Raw genomic sequence first — 24,235 nt, 5'->3', positions numbered from 1 at the left:
GCGGCCCTGGGCGGATCAGGGGGTGGGTGGCTGAGGGATATGTGTGCGGAGGAGGTGGGCTGTCCTCCCACCCACCGGTCTCCCGACCAGCGAGCAAGCTTTGGACAAGGCCAAAGAGCATTGGGCTGCTGGAAGCTGGGGCATCGGCGCAGCCTTCGGTAAGGGGCTCTGGTCGACCCCACTCCCTGGGCTTGCATCTGTCCACTGATCAGTGGGCAGGTCCTGCCTCTGCTTCCTCCCAGCCACCCCCGCCGCGCCATCAATTCCTCAGGGAACCGGCTCCTCTCTCAGTGCCCGGGCCAAGGCGCCCGGGGTAGCGGGCGGGCGAGGGTCTGCAGGGGCCCGGCCACTTACCCGAGTGCAGGCCGCCCGCTTCGGGGCCGCTGTCCGGGGCGGCGGCGCTGGGCGGCGCGTCCGAGTCGGTGTAGGTGAGCCAGGTGGATTCTGTCTCCCGGGTCCAGCTCTCGTAGTAGCGGGGCTCGATGGCATCCGCCCGGCTCCCGCCGCAGCCCATCCTCCTGCGCCGCGGGAGCGCCCAGCGGCTGCTCGGCTGTCGGCTCTGGCGGCGGCTCAGCCCCGGAGGCGCAGCCCCGGCCCGCAAGGAGGCGGCGGCGGCGACATCGCGTCCCCGCTCCCGCCCGCGCTGCAGCCGCGCGGAGCTCCTGCGGTGCCCGCCGCCCCTAGTCCGGGCCCTCTCCCAGCCCGTCCCTCCTCTCCGCCTCCAAGGCCCTCCCTCCCCTCCGGTCCCCACCGCCCAGTCCTCCCTCCCAGCGCCCTGGCCGCCCCAAGGCCCCCGCTCGCCCGCCCCCTCCCTCAGGGCTCCGTGACGGCCCGGGAGCAGGAGCAGCGGCCCCGCAGCCGGAGGAGGGCTGGGGCTCCCGAGGCGCTCGGACCCGTCTGGCCGGCATTACCGTTCCCAGTCTCTGGCCCATCTATCCATCCATCCATCCATCCATCCATCCATCCGCTCACCCGCTCATTCATTCATCCATCCATCCATCCTTCCTTCCTTCTTTCCATCCATCCTGGAAAGAACTGAAACTCTTATCACGGGACCCCAGGCTTTCTGGCCACCTGTTACAAAAGCAATGGAACTGGGAGCAACCCCGCAAAACTGGTCAGGGAGTATTGCCACTAAGACTTAAGGAACAGTCAGAGCCTATGCCTGTCGTATCTGATTTGGGGAGGCAGGAGTAGGGCTATGATTTTTAAGAGAGTTAGGCTAGGCAGTGTCACTTACACCCCTTCCAGCTGTGGTACTTCATGATCCTCTGAACTTTAAACTCGAGAAAGCAATAGATCACCTGGAACCACGCAGCATCCTGAACCCCCTCTCTGGGCAAGGCTTGGAGGCATGGCCGGTCCCTTCAAGCCCAGGGTGGCCTTGACATTCCCGGGATCCAGTTGTCAGCCTTTCTTTTCTCGGTGCACCCTCAGGTCCATGCGGGTTCAGACCTAGAGCTCAGACTTGCGTAGGCCAATGAATTTACCTGTTCCAAGAATCCAGAACAGGTGGTGAAAGATGAAAATCTTCTTAGCCTTCAAGAGGGGGGTAGGAAAGGGAAGGGTTTGGAAGAATAACTCTTCAATGACCAAGCTCTGCTAGAATATGGTATTAAGTATCATATTCATTCATTCATTCATTCAATGTATATTTACTAAATTCCTATTGTGGCAAAAGACTGTTCTAGTAGACATAATACATATATAATATATTTTGTATATTATCCATTGTATGTAGACTATAGGGTGTGATGTTTAATATAGCATGTAAAGCATAGAGAATATAGTACTCATTATATCCTATATAATTTATAGAATGTACGAGAGTACATTGTCTATAACATTTAGCACGTAGCATCCAATAGGTAGGGCAAGTTCAGAGCATTGCCTGGCACAGAGTAGGCCCTCAGTAAATGTCCAGTGAATTAATAATGAAGTATCTTTTTATAGTAATTTGATTCACTTAAATTATTGTAATTTGGGCTAAAGATGATCCAGTTGAGGGTAGAGCTGTCAGACATTCCTCTGGCAGGCACTCACCAGAATCCATAATGTGGAAGGGAGCAAAGATTCATGGAACTGTGGCCAGGGTCTCCTCCTCCTCATGCTGAGCGCAGCACCCGTTCGCACCCCAGGACTCAGGCTGGCCTCCTCTGCAGGCTTTGCTTCTCCTTTTGAGATGGCCTTGACAGGACTCTTCAACCTTGTTTTAGGTGTAAGGTGGAGGGAGTGCAGTTATCCGGGAAGTGGTGGCTTCCCTAGTCCTTTGGAATTCAGATGCCCTGTGCCTCTTTTCCTTCCCCCCTGAATATTTTGATTTCAGAAGAACCAGCTTTCAGGGAGAGAGAATACTTAACATCTCTAGCAGAGCCTGTGCTTTCCTCAGTTCTACGGCACAGTGCTCCTTTCATAACCAGCCACTTCGTGATGTCACCACCCAAAGAGCAGACAGACCAGAAAGAGTGTCTGAGTTAGACCGTCCTGGGGGAGTTCTAGAAAACGAAAGAAACTGAAAGAGCTAGAGCTTGGTGAGCACAGGAAACAGAGTAAACGTGAGGTGAAGTGGAGGGGTATCCTGGGGCCAAATAGAAACCCACATGCCCATATGTCTAAATTGTAAAAGCTATAAACCAAGTGAGCAAGTTTAATTGAAACATGGGCTGTCCTCATACCTTGACAAGTTATCTTCATAAAAACTTAAAAGGCCAGGTTCTAATGTAGAGTTCTCTCAGTCTTTGGAGTTCTGCACTGAACATGGCAGTGGGATTGTGGGTGGAATTGACCCACCCACTCCTCTTTCTATCCTCAGTTCAGTCCTGCTACACACGGGTCCTTGTGGGCCCATGGGTCTAAGGTCTGTCCATACTCCCCTCCCACAAATAGCTGCCCTTGGCCATCCCTCTGGCTGAGGAGCATGTGCCTGGGGGATGTGGTCTGCCCTCATGGGGTTTGCTTCCAGTACAAGCCCTGGAAGTAGGCTCAGTGGGTTTGGAGAAGAGAGTTGCAAGGTCTCAACTACCCAACAGGGAGGTTAGAAGGGGCTGAGACTCAGGCTCCAGGTACGTGCATTCTGTGATCCCTGGATTCCTTGGCCATAGAGAGGACCAGGGCTGGAGAACCAGAGTGGGACCTCTGGGGCAGGAGCCCAGAGCAGGGACCCCTCTTGCCAGGCCCTGTCTACTTACTTGAATGGAATTATGAACATTTCCAGAATACAGGAGATGGTTATCAAGTACTGCCTGGCTAAGGTTGAGTGTGGTCACTCATTTCACACACATTTCTGATCATCTATTGTGTATAGTTTAAGCTTCTTAAAGACAAAGATATGGTGACATGCTTGGAATCTTCAAAAGGGATTAACTTAATGCCTTCATAGAGTCAGTGCTCATCAAATGTTTGCCTAATGAATGAATAGCAAAAGACAAGGTGGGGATACAGTTAACAGTGCAATTTCAAGAGCCTGACTCTCTGAGTTTAAAGTTTGGCTCTGCTACTTAAGTGGATGGTCTTGGGCAAGCTACTTAACCTCTTTATGCCTCAACTGCATCGTCTGTAAATTGGAATAATAAATTGTGTCAGTATGTGTAAAGGGCCTCAAAGAGTGCCTGGCACATAGAAACACTCCATGAATGTTGCTATCACAACACTTTTGGGGCAACAAGCAACAATGTCATCTCTCTTCCTTAAGAGGGAAATCCCTGAAATTATTATGTCTTTTCACATGAGATAATGTTTGTGAATTTGCTTAGCACACTGCAGAAGTTTGGTAAATAGGTAGGTTTTTTTCTTTTCTTTCCTTTCTTTTTCCTTCCGTTATGATGTTACTGCTAACAACCTTCCTGCAAATAAATTTTTTTACCCCCATTTCTAAGTAATCATCATCGACAGAGCAGTTAGATTTTTTCATGGAATCTCTTTCTTGGCATTACGTAACACCATTGATTCAGAGAAATTCAGAAGCCAGAAAAAGTTAAAGAGCAGCCAATCCAGTCCTTTTATTTTACCAACTAGGAAATCGTAGCTCAGAAAGCTGTAAAATTGCCCAAGGTCACACAGGAAATGTTATCTCTGGCAGAGCTGAAGTTTCAGCCAGAGCTGGGGGCCTGTGGCTGCTGGCTCCGTGCTCTTTTAATTACAGCTCTTTAGTTGGGATTGAATTTTCTCCTAAACCTTCAGGAATAAATGTCATAAATTAAATGTAAATATGTAAAATGTAATACATTATCTTAAACCCTCTGTTCAGAATCTGTAGCTTGACTGGCATGAATTGGTTATCTTTTTCCATCAAGTTTGAAAGCAACAAAAAAAGAATTCTCCTAAGGAGAAATGCTGCAACAGGGCATTGGAAAGCCTGAGCCAAAGCCATCCAGAGCAATGAAATAAATTACACCTGTAAAAACTACTGCAGAGTGGTATTTGCTATATGATGGGATTCTCAAAATAAATTCTCTCTGGCTTTAAGAACCCCTGTGACTGGTACCACCTCTGGCTCATTTCTATGGAAACTGAAGCAAAGGCCTGTAGTGCTTCTCCCTCCAAGGTCTCATTTCTGTGGCTTGGCATCACTGGACTCTACCCGACTATTGTGAGCTGTAGAAAACAGACCTTCAGTAAGGCGGACAATCAGGACAGAACAGAAGGGTTAGCAGGAACCTAAACCTGCCTTTAGAATCAGCCATCTGAAAAGGAGTAAAGATAGATTCACTGCCTTACAAGTTTCCATCTCTTTCCAAGTGAAAAAGTAGCATAATTGAAGAACAACAGTAGCAATAATTCTGGCCAACAGGGTACAGATCCTAGGTAAATCTCTTTGGTCTTGAATGCCAAATCTCAGCAAGTTTCCCCACTGCTACAGATTCAGTGAACATACCAGAACCAGAGCTCCGTGCCCACCCTCTGAAGGATTTTAAAGCAGTTTCCACAGAGCACCCCTCCAGGTCCTCGATCTTGGCTAGTTGACACATCCTCATTGATCCACAAATTGTCATTTAGATGTAAAGGAAGAGGGCTCAAAGTTAGCACCCAAAAGCACAAGATCCAATTTCGTTCCCCACATCTGGAGAAAAAAATCAGAAAATATCATTTGACATGAGCTCATTCTTGCATCTGTTGCCTTGAAGAATGACTGCTTTCCCCAGGGCATGAATGGTACACCTGGAATCCAGGTGATGTGGACAGATCGGGTAAACATCATTACAGAGTATAAACAAGAAAGGAAAGCAAATATTACAACAGCAAGAAGATAAGTGAGTTTTTTATTTGGTTTAAGAGGTTAGAAAAGGTGAAAAAGGGAATGTTGCAGAAAAACAACAAAAGGAAGTAATTGAATATGTTACAACAAAACATTTATATAGAAAATGAAGTTTATATGTGGAATTAAACACTGTAGAATTAATTCACCACTAACCCTAAAATAAATTGTTCTCATGAGAAAAGAGGCTGGCTCCTTTAGGTTAATTCTAGAGAGATTCAGCAAGTTCTTTCACTGATTGCCAAACTTAAGAGTCTATCTCAGTCCCTGGATTAATGTCCTGTGGCACTTTATCATACCCCAAATTAAAACACAGGACAAAGCAAATTTTTTCGGGTGTTTCCCAGTTTCTGGTTTTACTACACTTCCTTATGGTGTAGTACTAGCTCATTGATCAGATGTAATGAATAACTGATTTGTTCTCTCACATGAGAATATGACCAACATTCTACTGGAAATGGCCTGGAGAGGAAAACCCGGTGATGATGAGGTCATGGACCTAATTTTTAAATGACAGAATAACTTCAAATTGTAGATTGTAATGCAAGAAAAGGGGGACTGAATAAGAGGTGAGAATAGATCCCAAAAGGCATATTCCCACAGGACTAATTCCAAAGAGAATTCTGAAAACCCAGGGAAGGTTTCAATAAAAACATCCACATAGCATTACACCTTCTTAAAGGCCTTTGGAACCATCGTTATCAACCTCTAATGTTGCTCAGGCCTCTTAGTAATACTGTCCTGTGCACTTTATTTTCACCAGAACAAAGAAAGCTTGAGTAATTTGCCAAAGATTACTATACATGTCAGAAAGAGAAAGACTGGGGTGTAGACCTCTTAGTCCAGAAACATAGAATTTTACTTCCCTTCAGAAAAAAAGGAAAAGCAGATTGTAGCTTCTTTCTGAACTTGAAGAGAGAGCATTTTCTGTAGATTTGAATAGTGCATTTTTACAGTGTTTACTAAGACCTATGGTTCCAATTCCATGCACCAGTTCTGATTGTACCTTCACCTTTAACTCATGAAGATTTTGACAATGTGTGTCTTAGTCCATTCCTGCTACTGTAACAGCATACCTTAGACTAGGTAATTTATAAACAACAGAAATTCATTTCTCACAGTCCTGGAGGCTGGGAAGTCCAAGATCAAGGTGCCAGCAGACTTGGTGTCTGGTGAGGGCTGCTCTTTGCTTCCAAGATGGCACCTTCTTTCTGCATCTTCAAATGGTGGGAAGACAAAAGGGATGAACACTGTGTCCTCACAAGGCAGAAGAGATGGAAGGGCTAGGTAGCTCCCTTCAATCTCTTTTATAAGAGCTCTAATCCCACTCACGAGGGCTCCACCTTCACTTTCCAAAAGGCCGCAGCTGTTGATACTATCACATTGAGGATTAAGTTTTAAACTTGAATTTTGAGAAAACACACACATTCAGACCACAGCTGTACATGAATCTGAAGAGCAGTGTGAGAATCAGCAATCACCTGTAAAAATACAATCCGATGAAAAGAGAGGAACTGAAATAGATAGAATAGATTTTGGCTGATGCTTTTGGCAGAAAATTGCTGGTGCTGGTGTACGATGCCAGGAGCCTTGGAGTGCAGGGCTTGGGTTTCTAAGGCAGAGCTGGAGGAGTGGAACAAAATGTTCTCTTTAACCACTGACCATGGCATACAGCATGGAGGAGAACTGTTTTTGGGCTCTTGAAGGTTCTCAGAGATTTTCATATAGCACAAAGCAGTCCAGATGACTGAGATTCTTTCTCTGAGAGAAAAGAAAACACATTCAGAACATTTGTTTGCTCTTTGCTTAATTCTACCACAGTTAACCTGGATCTTCAATCATTAAAGAGACATGATATGTCTTATTCCTTTCCCTTGGCAAAGAGTTGCTTGTCTACCCAGGCAGAGCAGAAAAAAAAGTCTTTTTCATATTATTCTACTGCTTCTTAGGATGGGGCAGGTCATTCGTTGTACTTGCGTGTAAAGTTAGGTCGCACCACAGCAAGGCTCAGGGGAGCAGATGGTGACTTTTATTCATCATTTCCCAAGATGAGGGAAAGGGACTACAATAGTTTACTCTCTCAATGCTATCTTGGTTGTTGCTATTACGACAGATGCTTCCATCAGAGGAGATACAGATATAGAAGAGAGAGGCTGAGACACCAGGAAATCAGGCTGCCTCTCCATCCTGCCCCCATTGCATTAATGTGGAAATGAGATTCAGTTTGCTTTTTGCTGGACTTCAGTCAACAGAAGAGTAATTGCCTTATCCTAAATGAAAAACATGACTTCCTGATTATAGTAAATAGGGAGACGGGGGTAACATGAGCAGGACAATCCGGTCTTTCACTGTAACTACCCAGCAAAACACTGCCTCTTGAGACAGCTGGGAGCCCAGGGGCTGGTGGAAAAGAAGCTGAGGCAGCCCGCAGGGCATTTTGAAGGTGAAAGTTGTCCCTACACACGAAGCTCCTGGTACACTGCCCATTAGGGTGGGCTGATCTGCTTCTGCCTGAATTTGAGGTAATTAAATCAAGGATTAGAATGATATTTACATTTGTTTTCTTAAATGAACCTATGTTCAATTAAGCACAATACCTACTTCACAGTATTGTGAGGAAGCAGAGAGACTGTGTGAACATGTTTCACACAAGTCCTAACACATAGCAACTGCTCAACAGATGGCAGCTATTATTTTAATCTTTAAAAATGTTTTATTCTTGTGATTGTTTTTCCTTGACTAACTGGGACCTTTGGGTCTTCTTTCTGTCCTGCCTTTGACCTTGCAGGGGTGAACTTACGTGCTCGCTGACAATGTCCTTAAAGTCCTGGCATCCTCAGAGCAAGACAAAAAGAGTGGGGGCAAGCGAAGGTAACCCCCAGTGGGGCTCTGGAAGTATGGAGGCCCCTCTCCTTTCCTCCTTCCTTCCACCTCTGGCCAGCGAGGCAGAACTCACAGGCAACACCTGGTTTCTGCACAGATGCAGCTGCATTTTGAACCTAGAGGAAAGCATGGACAGCGACTGGGGGGCTTGGTGGGGGGTGTCGCTCCCTAGAAGGGCACCTTTTCTGATATATGGGTCAGATGGGCCTTGGTGCACACAGGCAGGCTTCCCAGGATGGGGACATTGACAAGGAGGCAACAGTCCTCTCTCCTCCACTCCAGTGACTAATAAAAGCTAACATTTATGTAGCACTTACATGTCCCCGTCTCTGTATAATAAGCACTTTGAACATAGATGATCTCAACCCTCACAACCACACTAGGGGGTAGGTACTATTAAGAGCTCCATTTCCGTAATGAGAACTCTGAGACTTAAGGAGGTTAAATGACTTGTCCAACGTCATCCATAAACACTGAAGCCAGGATTTAAATCCAGGTCTATATGACAGCGAAGTCCACACTTCATCACAATGCCAGTCTCCTATTTTAAAGCTGTTCTCATGGGGCTGGCTATCCAGAAACATCCAAGGCTGCTGCAGCTGCTTACGTCACAGTCCGGGTGGAGAGCCTGTGAGGTCCTCTTGAAGGACGATCCCATTGCAGGAAAGCCACATGTGCTGTCCTACAGTTCACGGGAGGAAAATCAGAAATGATTAAAGCCTTGAGAAAAAAATTCCAATTCCAAGAAGCATCTATGCTATGAGTAATCCTATTCAGAATCGAGAAAAATAGAACAGTTACTGAAAACAGGGTAAAAAAATACTCCCTCCACAGTTGAGAACTCCCTCATAAACAGTCATATGACCAAATTCAGGAACAGGCCATGAATAGAAAAATGATGATTTGAATTTGTTTATTATCTATGTTGCACAGAGTTTTAGCCTGGCAGCTCTGAGGAGAAATAAGTTAGGAAAAATGATGTGTGGGCTGGTAGAATGTTTGAATTATCTGCATTGTTGATTTTGTCTCCTGATACATTCTTTCACAAGGTTGAATTAACTGATGTGCATTTCAAGTTCTCAGCTACCAGCAAGCAACTTAATGAATCTCAGAGAACTGCTGCTATCACAGAGGCCAGAAAGCAGGTAGTTTTACTCTTATCAAAGCATCTCAAAAAAGAACAGAATTTTAGGATTTTTAAAAATATATTTAAAAAGCACCCTACTGAATAAGCCCTACATTAGAAAGGACAATGTACCTCAAGAATGCATGCAGATATTCTAGGGGGGAATAGTGGTGATTAGAGAATTAAAGAAAAGTAGGTGGTAGTGGTGGTGGGGAATAGGTTAAAGCTAAATTATTCAAATATTTCTAAACATATCTTGACAAAGGTTTGGGTGGCCTCTATTTTCTTAACAGACTGAGAATCCTTCCGGGAGGAAGGTTTTAGGACAGCAAGCTTGCTCACAAAGCAAGGCCTTAGCCATCAAACAGAGGGAAGGTTCTTAGTGCAGCCTGGTGCAGGACGTTCGTATGTGCTTCCTGCCCCGCTCATTCCTCGGCTCCCCAAATTCCCTTCCTCCGTGAACCTGTGGCCAAATCCTATAGAAAGGAGGAGGCTATAAGTGAAACTTGGAAAATAATTTCACTCAAAGCTCTTTGATGTTCAGGGATAGATTCCACTCATTTGGCACTCTTCTGACCAGAAGCAACATGTACAAAAGTGGGAGAGAGATGTGCTTTGGCACCTCTAGAGCTCCATGTCCTAGCAGGAGACTAGTACCCAGAAGTGGTAGCATCCAGGGAATTAACAAGGGGCCCTAGTGGGAAAAGCAAGTCTGGTGCAGAAAACATGGTAACAAGTTTGGATTTTGTTTTAGGGGCAATGAAAAGTATTTTCATTAAAAGAGAGAATAATTTGATTTTCTGTTTTTGAAATATCACTTGTGGCTGGGAGCGATGACTCATGCCTATAATCCCAGCACTTTGGGAGACTGAGGTGGGTGGATCACTTGAGGTCAGGAGTTCAAGACCAATCTAGCTAACATGGTGAAACCCTGTCTGTACTAAAAATACAAAAACAAAAACAAAAAATTGCTGGGCATGGTGACATGCACCTGTAATCCCAGTTGCCCGGGAGGCTGAGGCAGGAGAATCACTTGAACCCAGGAGGTGGAAGCTGCAGTGAGCTGAGATCACAACACTGCACTGCAGCCTGGGTGACAAAGTGAGACTGTCTCAAAAAAAAAAAAAAAAGAGATAGAGAAGAAAAGAAATAAAAGATCACTCGTATGGAGAACTGATTTGGGGAGCCCAGAGAAAAAGCAGGGAAATCAGTTTGGAGATTGTTACAATAGTCAAGGCAAGAGATAATAGTGATTCATACACTAAGGCAGTGGCAGTGATGATGGAGAAAATGGATAGATTCAAGACACATTCTGGAGGTAGAGTAAGAAGCCTTGCTGATATTTTAAATGTCAGAAGTAAGGAAGAGGGAGAAAACAAGAATGACTTTCCAGTTTCTGCTTGTATATCTAGGTAGGTGAGGAAGACTTAATGAGGAATAAATTTGGAGAAAAAAAAATCAGGATGTCTGTTTTGGATATTTTGAGTTAAACATGCCTGGGAGACAAGTAGGCAATTAGATAGAGAAGATGAAGAATCAAAAGAAGATCAGTGTTGGAGCCATGAACAAAGTGTGCAATTTCCTAAGGAGAAAGTGGTAGACATAGAGAGAGAGAAAGAGGATGGCCTGAGATCACGCTTTGAGGAAACCCCTCTTTAGAGGACTGGCAGAGGAAAATGAACTTGAGAAGTAAGCTGGGGAGGAGAAATCAAAGAAGCAGAAAACAAACCCAAAAAGGTATAGTGTCACAAAAGCCCAGAGAAGAGCACCTGTCAGGAAGAAAGCATTCAATTTTGACTAAGGCTCCTGAGTGTTTGTGTGAGTCAAGGATGAAAAACAGCCCATTGTTGGGAACATGAACATCACTGGTGAATTTGGTAAAAGTGGCAGTGGAGGGGTAGCTTCACAGCCAGAGCAAGTGGGTTAATGAGTAGATGGGAACACATGCATGTAATTTTACTTGTTTCTCAAGCCAAACACGCACACACACAAACACTAAAGTGATTATCTTTAACATAAACCCATGAGGATGGTAAGACGGGGAGAGGACAAAAATGCCACAGTATTTTGAAAGCTGGAAACCATTTGGAGAAGTTTTAGCTAATTTAGTGGGCTGAAGAAGGTGGAATCCTATGTCAGTAGTGAGGAAACTTAAAACCAACACCATTTGCACCTCAAATTTTTCAAAGTCTCAGGAGTTAGTGGCACCGGAAACTTTAAAAATAGAGGTAGGGCAAGTGGGTGGGAATTGGCATTAAAATAAGGAGAATTAGTTGAAAGCAATTTAAAAAGGAATTATATTTGCAGACCCCTACCATACTCTTAATAGATGCCCTTCCCCATCCTGGCAGAAGACTGGATTCATTCTCTGGAAAAGATCAAACAATGAGTCTCTTGACTGGAATATCAAATAGGACAATTAAGAGACTGTATGCTTACCTGTGCTGAGACTTTCAGGCTTCTTTCCCTCCTCACCTGCCAGAGCACACGTAGGAAAGATTCTCTTGGAAAACCAACCAATCCAGAGAAAACACCTAACGATACATCAGGGCTGCCCAAGGAAATAGTCAAGCCAGATTGCCCTACTGTGAAGCTCATAGTGGGTAAGTTCCACTCAGGTGAACAAAGCTTCAAATCAGCTTTTTTGGTTTCCACAGTCAAGGATAAGCAGACAGCAGGTATTAAAAGATATCTGAAGAAAGACTCTAATGCAAAAGAGCTACTTGGAAAAAAATGGGAACTATATAAGAGGAAGAAAACGTCAAGAAAACTGTATTTAATGTCCTCAGAGAGATCAGAGGAGATGTTACAACCCTAAAAAAAGAAAAGAATACAAATAAAATAGAACCTTTAGAGAACAATCAACAACCACAAAAAGCCCTTGGTAATTAAATATATGATGGAAGAAGTGAAAAACTTAGTAGAGAGCTAGAAAAACGAAACTGAGGCATGAAAAGGCCAAAAAAAAAAAAAAAAACAGAATATAGAAAAGAAAATTAGAGGATCAGTCTAGGAGATCCAGCACCCAAATAATAGGGATTCCAGAAAGAGATAAGAGAGCACAGAAGGGAAGAAATCACCAATGAAATAATTCAAGAAATTTTTCTAGAATTAAACTGTCAAAACGGATTAAACGTACCCCAAAGAATGCCATCATAAATTTTCAGAAACCTGGGGACAAAGAGAAGATCCTACAAGCTTCCAAGAGAAAAATGTGTCACATACATAAGATTAAGAATCAGAATGCCAGATAGGAATGGTGACAAGTGTCTATCATCCCAGCTACTTGGAAAGCTACGGTGGGAGGATCCCTTGAGCCTAGGAGTTCAAATCCAACCTGGGTAGCATAGCAAGACCCTGTATCTAAAAATAAAAAACAGAAGTTTTAAAAGAATCAGAATGTCTTTGGAATTCTCAATCACAAGACTAGAGGCTAGAATACAGTGGACTGTAGCCTTCAAAATTCTGAATAAATTATTTTAAGCCTAGATTTTTTATTCCTAGCCATCAATTAAGTGAAAAGTCAAAATAAAGGCATTTATATTTGCAAGGTCTCAAAAATTTTACCTCACATGCACTTCTGAAGAAGTAACTAGAAGACGCATTCCACCAAAACAGGAAAGAAAAGTTTGGAGCCAGGACCCAGGCAAAAGATGAAGGGAATCCCTAGACTGATGAAAAGACCTCCAAAGAAACTGTTCTATTCATAATAACAAAGACATAGGATCAACCTAAATGCCCATCAACGGCAGCTCGAATACAGAAAATGTGGTACATACACACCATTAAATGCAGCCATTTTAAAGAGTGAGATCATGTCCTTTGCAGTAACATGGATGGGGCTGGAGGCCACTATCCTTTGCAAACTAACACAGGAACAGAAAACCAAATATCATATGTTCTCACTTATAAGTATGAGCTAAATGATAAGAATTCATGGACACAAAGAGGGTAGCAACAGACACGGGGGTCTACCTGAGGGTGGAGAGTGGGAGGAGGGAGAGGAGCAGAAAAAATAACTATCAGGTACTAGGCTTAGTATTTGGGTGACTAAATAATCTGTACACCAGACTTCCATGACACAAGTTTACCCATATAACAAATCTGCACATGTACCCCTGAACCTAAAATAAAAGTTAAAAGAAAAAGAAAACACAACAAAACAAAACAGTGCTACACCAGGTCTTGAGGGTGGTTTGGAGACAATCCAAATTGGAGAAAGTCAGAGGTTTTGGAAGGGATTCTTCAAGAGGACAAAACTAATAGCATAAATCTAGACGTTTTGAGCAGAAAGATAAATTATGGCAGTTTGAAGTTGGACTGGTAATAAGTAGAAAACTAAGCAAATAAAAAATTATTCCCAAGGAAAATTAAAAGTTGTGTAAGGAAGAAAAAGTAGTCTAAGCTTACTAGATGACTCTGCTCTCGATATCACTATATAATCAAAATAAAGTAAACATGGATTACTGAACCAAGGAAAGTTAAGATGTAACCATGCAGGAATGGTAGGAGGTGGAAAGAATGTATGTGCATGCTGTGGGAAGGGGAAAGAATGAGAGCTAAATCCTCCTCCTCTGTAGGGGCAGTCAATAGCTACTGCTCACAATTGAGGGATCATTAAGTAGCCCAATACTAGCATTTTATTCAGAAACACAGAGCTAAATGCCAAAAAGAAAAAGCAGCTACAAGAGTTGTAAGTAGTTGTCTCTGATGGGGAAAGCAGAGGACTGTTGGTTTTCATAACAAGTCTTATAGAACTCTTGAGTCTTTAAAATATGTGCAAATAACCTTGCTAAAAATAGAAACCAAGTAAAAGCAAAGGCAAATGGAGAGTGAAAAAGGGAAAGTGGCAGCTATAGACATATATTTTGAGAGATCTGGTTCCTAAGAGGAATAGAAAAGTGAATTAGGGTAGGTGGGGTCAAGGGTGGGTTTTGTTTTGTTTTGTTTTGTTTTGTTTTGTTTTGTTTTAAGACAGGGTCTTGCTCTGTCAGCCAGGCTGGAGTGCAGTAGTATGATCATGGCTCACTATAGCTTTGACCACCTGGGCTGAAGTGATCCTCCCACCTCAGCCTCCCAAGCACCTGGAAGCAGTAAGCAAGCAGAGAGGAGCAGAACTACCCTAAGAGTAAATTATGGTAGATGTGCCACGATCGAGATCCTCACTCTTGGGCCAGCAGCGAGGGGGAGAGGCCGAAACTAAGACCTTCATTAAACCAGAACTCATTAGGAGCTCTAAATGGTTCCAAGCTGGCAGTGACCCCTGGCTCTCTGGGTGCCACCATGCCCAGCTAATTTTTTATTTTTTGTAAAGATGGGGTTTCACCATGTTGCCCAGGTTGGTCTTGAACTCCTGGGCTCAAGTGATCCTCCTGTCTCAGCCTCCCAAAGTCTTGGGATTACAGGTGTGAACCACCAAACCTGGCCAAGGGTGGGTTTTTTAAAGATGGGAAAATGTGGGATGGGAACTGTCTCCCTGCGAGGGAGTTGATGGTGCAGCAGAGGGAGGATTCCAATGGAGCAGGGTCCTTGAGAAGATGAAGGGGACGGGATCTAGAACCCACTGTGTGGGGTGGGCTTTGATGCAACAGAGACACCTCCTTTACTGGACAAAAGGGAAGAAAAAGGTAGGTGGAGACACGAGTGGAATTATAGAATTTCTCATGGCCATGCTTGTCTTATCAGGCCTCAAGACACCCAGAATAGAACATAATATAATACACCAGTAATTCTGTGAGAAGTAACACACAAACTACACCCAGACACGTGTTCCTTCAACCTTCCTACAGTGCAGAATGATAAAACTGCATATGTTTGATGAATAATTCCCTCACAATAGATGTATTACCATTTTGTCTCATAGAAATAAGAACATCTGCATTAAAAAAAAAAAGACTTCCACTGATAACATCTCAGACCAAATATTCTCATAGGCCCTTGATATGGTTTGGCTGTGTCCCCACCTAAATCTCATCTTGAATTGTAATCCCATAATCCCCACATATGAGACCCGGTGGGAGGTAATTGAATCATGGAGGCGGTTACCCTCATGCTGTTCTCCTGACAGTGAGTGAGTTCTCACAAGATCTGATGGTTTTATAAGGAACTTTTCCCCCTTTTGCTCGGCACTTCTCCTTGCTGCCGCCATGTGAAGAAGGATGTGCTTGTTTCCCCTTCCACCAGGATTATAAGTTTCCTGAGGCTTCCTCAGCCCTGTGGAGCTATGAGTCAATTACACTTCTCTCCTTTATACATTACCCAGTCTCAGGTATGTCCTTATTAGTAGCATGAGAACGGACTAATACAGCTCTCCTTCTGCAAAACAATTACATCCTAGATAAAACATAGATGAGATGGGCTTGTAGGAGATAGAGGATGTTGCCAAGGGACTCCTCCACATGAAATGGAGCAAACTATAAGTAGAAATTAGAGCTGGAAGCAGTGAGCAAGCAGGGAGGAGCAGAACTACCCTAAGAGCAAATGATCCAGATCCTCACTCTTGGGCCAGCAATGAGGAGGGGAGGCCAAACCTAAGACCTTCATTAAACCAGAACTCACGAGGAGCTCTAAATGGTTCCAAGCTGGCAGTGACCCATGGCTCTCAGAAGAAGCAGATGCAAATCTTCCCTAAAGAGAGCACCCCCAACCTAAGCCGAGAAGACTCCCACAGATGAAGATCTAATAAATACACAGTCAGAGATCAGCAGGCCCAGGAGGGGCAATACCACCATGAGTGAGAGTCGGCAGACACATTTTAAAGAAAAGATGGGAAAAGCAAATCACGAATGAAATAAAAGACCCATCTGTGGCTTTGAATATCACCTGAATAGTTACTAGAATGCACATATCTCGGTCCCATTCCAGACCTACTGAGCCTGGGAATGTCTTAATGCTCATTCCCCACAGAGAGGAAGCCAGACAGCTCGTTGCACAGACCCTATTTTCCTTTCCACAATCATCTTCCTATAGCTTTTGCTATCCTTGCAGGGAGATGTAAGTGCAGCAGGCACATCTATTCAAAGGCAAAAATAAAACTAAGAAAATAGCTAAACAAGACAGCACCCCCTAGTGCCGGGAAGGTAGGAACCAACTTGGCTTGGGTGCTCCCTGTCTCCTGCAGAGCAGAGCACGACCCTAGACTGTCCAGTCCACGAGCCCTGGAGGCATCACTATGCGGGAATGAAATGTTGGTCACACTTCAGTGACTACAATGCACAAAATACTGTGATTGAAGATAATGGGAAATGGGCACCGTAATAATAACGAATGTTTTAATTAATAGCTTAAGGTAAACTGTGTTCACCGGGAATCTAGAAGTGCTTATGTAATCCATAGAAAACTTTGCAGTGGGGACCAAGAAGGGGCTAGGAAAAGAACTCTTTTTAAAGAAAGAGAGCGTCAGGCATGGGCTGGGTCCAAAGACAATGAGCCCATTCCAAATAGAAGAGATAATTTTGAGTACAGTAGAGGCTGGTTTTAATTTACCTGGCCCAACCTCAATGGCCCTTATCTTATGGAGAGCACCCAACAGAAAAAGGAAAACTGCAAACAAAGGATAGCACTGCTTTGCAGTTTTGTAGCTTAAGGAGCATGCTATTAGGCTAAGAGGAAAATGGGAAATGGAAAATGCCTTGTGTGAAAACCAGTAACAACAGCCAAGTGTGGTGGCACACAGCTGTAATCTGAGCACTTTGGGAGGCTGAGGCAGGCGGATTACTTGAGGTCTGGAGTTCAAGACCAGCCTGGCCAACACGGTGAAACCCCGTCTCTACTAAAAAATACAAAAATCAGCTGGGCGCGGTGGCACACGCCTGTAGTCCCAGCTACTCTGGAGGCTGAGGCAACAGAATCGCTTGAACCCGAGAGGCGGAGTCTGCAGTGAGCCAAGATTGTGCCACTGCACTCCAGCCTGGGCAACAGAGTGAGACTCCGTCTCAAAAAAAAAAAAAAAATGAAAAAAAGAAAGAAAGAAAACAAAACAACAACAATAACCAATCAGCCCTATCAGGCAGGTATTATTCCTGTGATTATGTTACAGATGAGCAAAATGACTTCAGAGAGGTTGAGTAACTTGCTCAACTTTACCCAGCAATAAATTGTGGAGGCAAGCCTGTGATTATGTTACAGATGAGCAAAATGAGTTCAGAGAGGTTGAGTAACTTGCTCAACTTTACCCAGCAATAAATTGTGGGGGCAAGCCCAAGCATAGGACTTGCTCAACTTTATAGGTCATGTTCTTAATAGATGTTTTTCTGATTTGATTGTTTAAAGAGGTGACTGAATTTCATGATTCAAGATTTAGGAAAATTATTACACAATGCTTAGTGAAAATTTCTTCTCCTATCACTGCCCCCAGGCCCCCAGCTTCCCTCCTCATAGGCAACCAGCGTCATTAGATGAGGTGTAATATTCTAGAGATATTTTCTGAGTTTCATTTTGCTACACCATTCTGAAGCTCACATTTTTCACCTAGGAAAATATCTTGCAGATCACTCCTTATCAGTACACAAAGAGCTTCCTTGTTCTGTTTTCCAGCTGCAGGATTTCATCGTGTGCGGAGGTGCCATGATCTTGCTCACCAGTCCCCAGTCAATAGACATTAGCCCCATTTCCATTCTTCACTGTAGCTGATGCTCTTTATTCTGAGAAAACTCCACTCCCTCCTGAGAGATCGTGAGAGTCTCCCGTGACAATTAGCCTCCTCTAAGCCACAAGACATGGCCACGTTCTCAAGTTACTTTAACAAATGGAGTGCATTGTGAGACACACAAGAACACAGACCAAAAAAAAGAAACTGGGAAGCAGCCTGACAAAGGCAGGTGGAGAGTAGCCCCACCCTGGGCACCAGGCACCTCTGCCCATTTCCTGCCACCACCCATGGCTGTGAGGGGCTCCATGAGCCACCCAGACACTGTCACCATGTCTCCCATCCTGCCAGTTGCTGGGCTTTGGCAACTAATCAGCCTGCATCTAAAAGCAAGGTCATTTTAAGAGGGTCTCTGTGACTCTGGCCTCGCTTGCTGAGTCCAAATGTCCATACAGGAGAGGGGCAGGATCTCTATCACATGGCCCCCTTGCTACCAGTGGAGGGTGTCCAGGTTCTTGGGGTCTTGAACAAAGAACTGGACAAAGTTACAAACAAAGGAAGGAAAGAATGAAGCAACAAAAGCAGAGATTTATTGAAAATGAGGTGGGAGTGGCCCCGAGCATAGGGGCTCAAGAGCCCTGTTACAGAATTTTCTGGGGTTTAAATACCCTCTAGAGGTTTCCATTGGTTACTTGGTGTACGCCCTGTGTAAATGAAGAGGATCAAGTAAAGTTACAAAGACATTTACTGGGTTTACGCCTTGTGTCAATGGTGAGGATATTTCCTGTAATAGCTGAAGTATTTCCATTTGATTTAGTTCTAGGAAGTCAGCATGAATCAGTCTTATGTTCCCTGCCTCCAGACCGTATTCTCCTGTCTCACCCCGGGCAGACGTGGGGAGCTGCTGGCTGGTCGGCTGGTCAGCTGGTCAGCTCCCCTGGGAACAGGGCCCATCCCAATTCCCACCAGGTGTAGCCAGGGTGGTGAAGTCAAGTGGGACAACGTGAGGGCCTGTGCTTAAGGCCCCGTTTCCTCGGAAGGGGTTTGGGGCACTCAGGCATCAGGTACTGTACCTCCTGCCCAGGGATCCCAGAGCTGCCTAGAGGAATTTGAGCAGGCTGGAATTCCTGCTGAGCAAGCAAGGCCAGAGTCACAGAGACCCTCTTAAAGTGACCTTGCTTTTAGATGTAAGCCGATTCAGTCTAGGGGGAAAAAATGACCACATGGAACCACTTATAAGGCTCTCTAGCTTAAAAAAAAAAATTATACACCTTAGCTCACCAAAGTCTCCAGGAAGTAGACATTATCAGCAGCATTCCCATTTGACGAATGAGAAGACAAGCTTACAGAGGTTACCTGAATTGCGAGGATCACACAGCTAGTCAGCAAGGGAGCTGAGACTCAAACCTGCGTCTTCAGATTCTGGTTTGCGCCTCCTTCTGACTGCACAGCCCTGCAGGCTCCAGAACATCTCCCTTGCCGGCTCTGCTTCCTTTCCTCAGCTGTTGAATGGTGATGCTCCCAAGGCCGTCCGTTAGGGCCTGCATTTCTCTCCCTCTCCACACTCTCTCTGGTTGTTCTCATTTACCTCCTTGCCTTGGCCTAATATCAAAAAGTCAGTGGCCCCTAGAACTCTCTCCAGCCCAGATCTTTCTCCTGAGTTCCATACCTATATATCTAATGCCTTACTGGACACCTCCACATGGCTGTCCAAGCCACCTCAAGTGCAGTGTTTCTGAAATGAAACTCATCTTTCTCTGTAAACTGCTTCTCCTTCTGTGTTCTCTGAGTAGCAGTGACTTCACTTCTGAAGCACAGACTATGTGTTAGTTATTTCACACATGCAAGAGCGGGGTATCATCGTCCCATTTTACAAAAGATAAAAGTAAGGCTTGGAGACGTTAACTTGCTTGCACAAGGCCATAGTACCAAGTCGTTGACAGAGCCAGAGTTCAAATCAAACTCTATTCTGCATTTCTCTCACTGGCACAGGCTGCCTGGAAACCATGGGGCCTCAGCTCTTCACTCTGTTGCACGAACCAGAAGTCATGGTTCATTCTTGACTCCTCCAACCCTCCCCACCCTCTTCCCACCCTCACCCACCCCAGCTTCTCACCCCCACAGCTGCCTCAGAGCTGAGTCAATCAGTTCTACCACCTAAATGCTTCGCAAGCTGTGCCTTCTCTCCATTCCTATTGTCACTTCCTTGGTTTAGCCCCTAAATTATGTCTCCCTCATTACCTGAAATAACTTCCTAACTAGTTTCTTTGTCTCTAGTAACAACCCCGCTTCAAGTCCTCTCTCCCTGTGAATGAGCTTTCTAAAATATACCCAATCATTGCATTCACCTGGTTAAGACCTCCAAAAGCTTCCACTACCTCCAGGATAAATCCCAAATTCCTGTTTCTGCTGATGCCTGTATATGCAGGTGATCCCTTGCTGGGTCTCTGAAATGGGTTCATCTCTTCAAGGTTTTTACTGAGACGATATAGTCCTCTTGTTGCACATTGCACTGATCCAGGCCATCTGTACTGTATTCCAATGAGCTACAGAAAAATGCTTGCGTGAGAGCCTTTCATATGCAAAAATAAAGACTGAATTATGCCATAACTATTGATAAGTCTACAGTAATCCATCATGCAATTGTTTACCCAATAGATTGTGTTTATATTGTCTTTGGTACCATGTAATTTGTAAATTTTCATGACAGTGTAACCAGTTAGGCCTAGGGTGGCAGGACTTAAGTGTTGCTGAATCATTTATTACTCCACACCTCATTGAAAAGTGCTTCATAAACTTTCTGAAACTGTTCAACAGACAGAGGGTAATTTGTGCTCTGCCAACAAAGGATTCTGTTGTTGAGTGCCTATCAGCATATTAAAGGTTCAGAGAAAACCAGCAATGCAGAAACTAGAGCAATTTTGTTCTCAGAAGATAGTTTTCTTCTGCACATCCATTCGTTAACATATTCTAAAAGAGTCTGCCCTCAACAGGAGTTTGGGGAAGCACTGGGATAGAGTGCAGAGGCCCTGAGGCTTCTGGAGTTTATCTGACTCTGACATCAGGATGCAAGCACAGACCTGCCACTCTCTCAGGAACATCTTTCGTTAACTCCCGTTTGTCTTTCAAGATTCAGTTCAGATGGCATTTCCTCCTAGTGCTCTTCCTCCCTCTCTGTCTGTCACACACTCACAGGTGCATATGCACCCACACATTTGTGACATGTATAATAATTGCATGGGATTTCCTAACACCCTCTTTCATAATACCTGTCTGTATTTTCTATTGGTTGATAGAAAATTCAGCCCAGACGGATGAGAGCCAACAGGAAATTTATAGGCATTGGAGGCACGCTGCTGCAGCAGCTCCAGCCTCACCCATCCCCACCCTGTCCCAGGTCCAAGTTCAGCAGGAAAGCAGGATTGTCTCATAGGTTTTGTGCCCTGCCTGAGGAAATTCCCCAGATTGTGAATCCCCAAAGGTAGACCAGGGTCTCTTATCCCATATCCAGCCCTTAGCACCTTCCTTGGCATGCCTTGTTTTCAACAAATAACAAATGGGGACACAAAATGTTCAAAGCAAGACTTCTACCTCGAAGGAGTTTATAGTCTAGTTCAAGAGTCACTATGTATAAACAGAATAGAAATACAATAGACCATACAAGGTAACATAAATGCCAAATGAGTGACTTGGGTATTAAGTATCAAAGGAATTCAAAGAAGGGACAGTTTTGGGAGTTGATAAATAAGACATAGATCCTGAACTAGAGAAACTGTTTCTAGTAGGAAAGAAAGGTATGTTACACAGAAAATGCCAATACAGACTGATAAGTATGGGGGCAGAGTGTTCATTACCATGTTCTGTTGGTTCTAGAAAGCTTTTCTTTTTCACTAAATGATTCAAATAATAGCAGCCTTATTTTTCTTGGTCTTATTTACTTTATTTTACTAATAAATTTTTCAAGATGAGAATAGGGGATTTCCTGTTTTGGTGTGTGACTCAGGACACAGGGCCCCACATCGCAGCCTGACACATAGCAGCCTGATTTCATTTCACTGCAGCATCACAGTTTTCCATAACTTCTCTTTTTTTTTTTTTTGACAGAATCCTGCACTGTCACCCGGGCTGGAGTGCAATGGCATGATCTCGGCTCACTACAATCTCCGCCTCCTGGGTTCAAGCGATTCTCCTGCCTCAGCCTCCCGAGTAGCTGGAATTACAGGTGCCCGCCACCATGCCTAGCTAATTTTTTGTATTTTTAGTAAAGATGGGGTTTCACTATGTTGGCCAGGCTGGTCTCGAACTCCTGACCTCATTACCCGCCCACCTCGGCCTCCCAAAGTGCTGGGATTACAGGCGTGAGCCACTGCACCCAGCCCATAACTTCTCTTTTTAGCTGAGCATTTAGCTGCTGTTAAATTCAATTAAGTCCTGCCCCTAGAAGCATGCTGTGGATGACTGCAATAACACTTCTGCCAGAAGACCATGCAGCTGGGCATGTTGACCTCACGGATTAAGGGCTGCAGACATGGTGGGAAATATTTCCTCTCTCTGATAGAACATTTTCCTCTCTGATTTTGCCACTGGAATTTGAACAAATTTCATTTTAAGGGTTGGTCTTCAATGTGCAGGATTTAGACACCAAATCCTCCTGGGCAGAGTTTGGCAGAAGAAAGAGGAAGACCTGGTGATGTATGGTCTCTCACAGTCCCCTGAAGACCCTTCAGTGGCTCCGCATCACTCACAAGACAAAACTCCAACTCTGACAATGACCACCAAGGCCCTCGCTGCCACCTCTAAGCCAGGCTCATCTCTCAGTGCTTCCTAACTTGCATTTTACCTCCAACAGCTCAAAAGTGCTCCTGCTCCCATGCGCCGTATCCCATGCCCTTGCTCGTGCTGTTTCCTGGCCTGACACTCACCACCTGTGGCCTGGTTAACTGTGTTATCCTTTAAGCCTCAGCTCAGCTGTCGCCTCTTCTAGGAATCCTTTTCTGATCCATCTGCCTGTTGAGGAATAAGTGCTCCCATGATACATTGTGTGCACCTCTATTTGTACGAATGAACTAGGGTAGGACTTACCTTTTGCTAGAGGGTAGATCCATCATTAGCATTCCACGCAGGGCACAGCATACAGTGGACATTCAACACAATGTTTGAATGACGATGAATGAATGAATGAATGAATGAATGAATCTTACACAAATGAATGCTTGCCTCTGGCACCTCGACCTCCTCCAAACCCTTTCCCTTCTGGGTGTCTGTTCCATGTTTTCACTATTTTCCTTCCTTCCTTCCTTCCTTCCTTCCTTCCTTCCTTCCTCCCTCCTTCCCTCCCTCCCTCCTTCCCTCCCTCTCTTTTTTCTTCTTTCTTTCTTTTTCTTTCCCTCTCCTGTCCCCAGATGTCATTAAAACCTTCCAATAGGAAGACATCCTACAAACTCATCAAGTGCAAACGGGCAATATGACATAGCATGTCTCCATCCACCACTGTCACCACCAGTTAAAAAACACAACACATAGTCTTAAAGCCAAAGGAATAAAATGATAATATTGCGGTTCAGCATTGGCTGGATCCATATGGCCTTGCTGGCACCTGTCTGCTCACCCACCATGCTTCTGTGCTGCTGGAGGACAGAGCAATGGGTGTGCCAGGGTCAGAGGGGATGCTGTTACCCAGCAGAAAAGCAGTGAATATGGGGAGCGCTACATGTGGTAGGGCTTAGTATTTGCATGCTCGGAGCTCTAGAGTCTGACTGTCTGGATTGAAATATCAGATTGACTGTTGTGTGACATTGGACAGATCACTTAACTTCTCTCAGGGTGGATAAAAATGCTTATCTCTGGGATAATCAGAATTAAATGAGGTAATCCCTGCAAAGCATTTAGCATAGTAAGTGACTCATCATCAATACCTGCCAAACATTAAATATTGTATCCATTAGCCAGTGCTGCATAACAAATCAGCCCAAAACTTCATGGCTTCAAACAATAACAATAATTTATTATTACCTCATGAGTCTAGGGGTTCTGTCTCTCATGCAGGTACGGTCAGATGGTGACTGGGGCTAGAATTCTCTGAAGGGTCACTGGTGTGTCTGCACCTAGGATGAGAAGCCTCAAATAGCTGATGGCTGGAACCACCGGTTCCTCCAGCAACCCTCTCTATCTCTATGTCATTTTGCAATGAAGACTGTCCAGCGCGAAGGCAGGCACAATATCACCTTCGATGCCCTAGCATCAGAAGTCTCAGATATCACTTTCTTCCTGCTCTACCAGGGAAGACAGTCACAAAAGCCCATCCAGTTTCAAGGGGAGGGGACATAGATTCCCCTTCTTGATGGAGATGTGGCAAGGTTTCAAAAGAATATGTGGGGAGGAAAAG

The 24,235-nt window shown here is 44.6% G+C and overlaps 1 protein-coding gene and 2 long non-coding RNA genes across 5 annotated transcripts in view, besides 2 other annotated features; 1 reads left to right on the top strand and 2 right to left on the bottom strand.

Moving 5' to 3' along the window:
* BAALC (BAALC binder of MAP3K1 and KLF4) overlaps positions 1-687 on the bottom strand; it is an 89,581-nt gene extending 88,894 nt beyond the window's left edge. For all 3 annotated transcript variants that reach the window (NM_001364874.1, NM_024812.3, NM_001024372.2), the window contains exon 1: positions 355-687. In NM_001364874.1, the coding sequence (NP_001351803.1) occupies positions 355-514 (160 nt within the window). In that variant the 5' untranslated portion in view covers positions 515-687. The remainder of the gene's footprint in view (positions 1-354) is intronic.
* Positions 70-8,449, top strand: BAALC-AS2 (BAALC antisense RNA 2). The gene is made up of 2 exons (NR_027071.1): positions 70-158; positions 8,043-8,449. It is a non-coding gene; the product is annotated as a BAALC antisense RNA 2 (long non-coding RNA).
* Positions 462-651: a silencer, noted in NCBI's record as "silent region_19454". NCBI's record gives its function as "represses an Ori minimal core promoter by ATAC-STARR-seq in GM12878 lymphoblastoid cells {active_cell/tissue: GM12878}" and the evidence as "EXISTENCE:reporter gene assay evidence [ECO:0000049][PMID:35858748]".
* On the bottom strand, positions 1,057-20,380 carry LINC01181 (long intergenic non-protein coding RNA 1181). Its single transcript, NR_145429.1, has 6 exons — positions 20,199-20,380; positions 8,055-8,819; positions 6,121-7,015; positions 4,874-5,059; positions 2,044-2,206; positions 1,057-1,539 (listed from the first exon to the last, which is right to left on the bottom strand). It is a non-coding gene; the product is annotated as a long intergenic non-protein coding RNA 1181 (long non-coding RNA).
* Positions 18,842-19,343: an enhancer, noted in NCBI's record as "H3K4me1 hESC enhancer chr8:104134297-104134798 (GRCh37/hg19 assembly coordinates)". NCBI's record gives its function as "activates a minimal SCP1, AML or CMV promoter by ChIP-STARR-seq in primed H9 embryonic stem cells {active_cell/tissue: H9 hESC(primed)}" and the evidence as "EXISTENCE:reporter gene assay evidence [ECO:0000049][PMID:30033119]".
* Positions 20,381-24,235: the final 3,855 nt, after the last annotated feature.

This window comes from Homo sapiens, chromosome 8, assembly GCF_000001405.40.
Source record: "Homo sapiens chromosome 8, GRCh38.p14 Primary Assembly".
NCBI lineage: Eukaryota > Metazoa > Chordata > Mammalia > Primates > Hominidae > Homo > Homo sapiens.
This window is presented reverse-complemented; position numbering and strand designations above follow the sequence as displayed.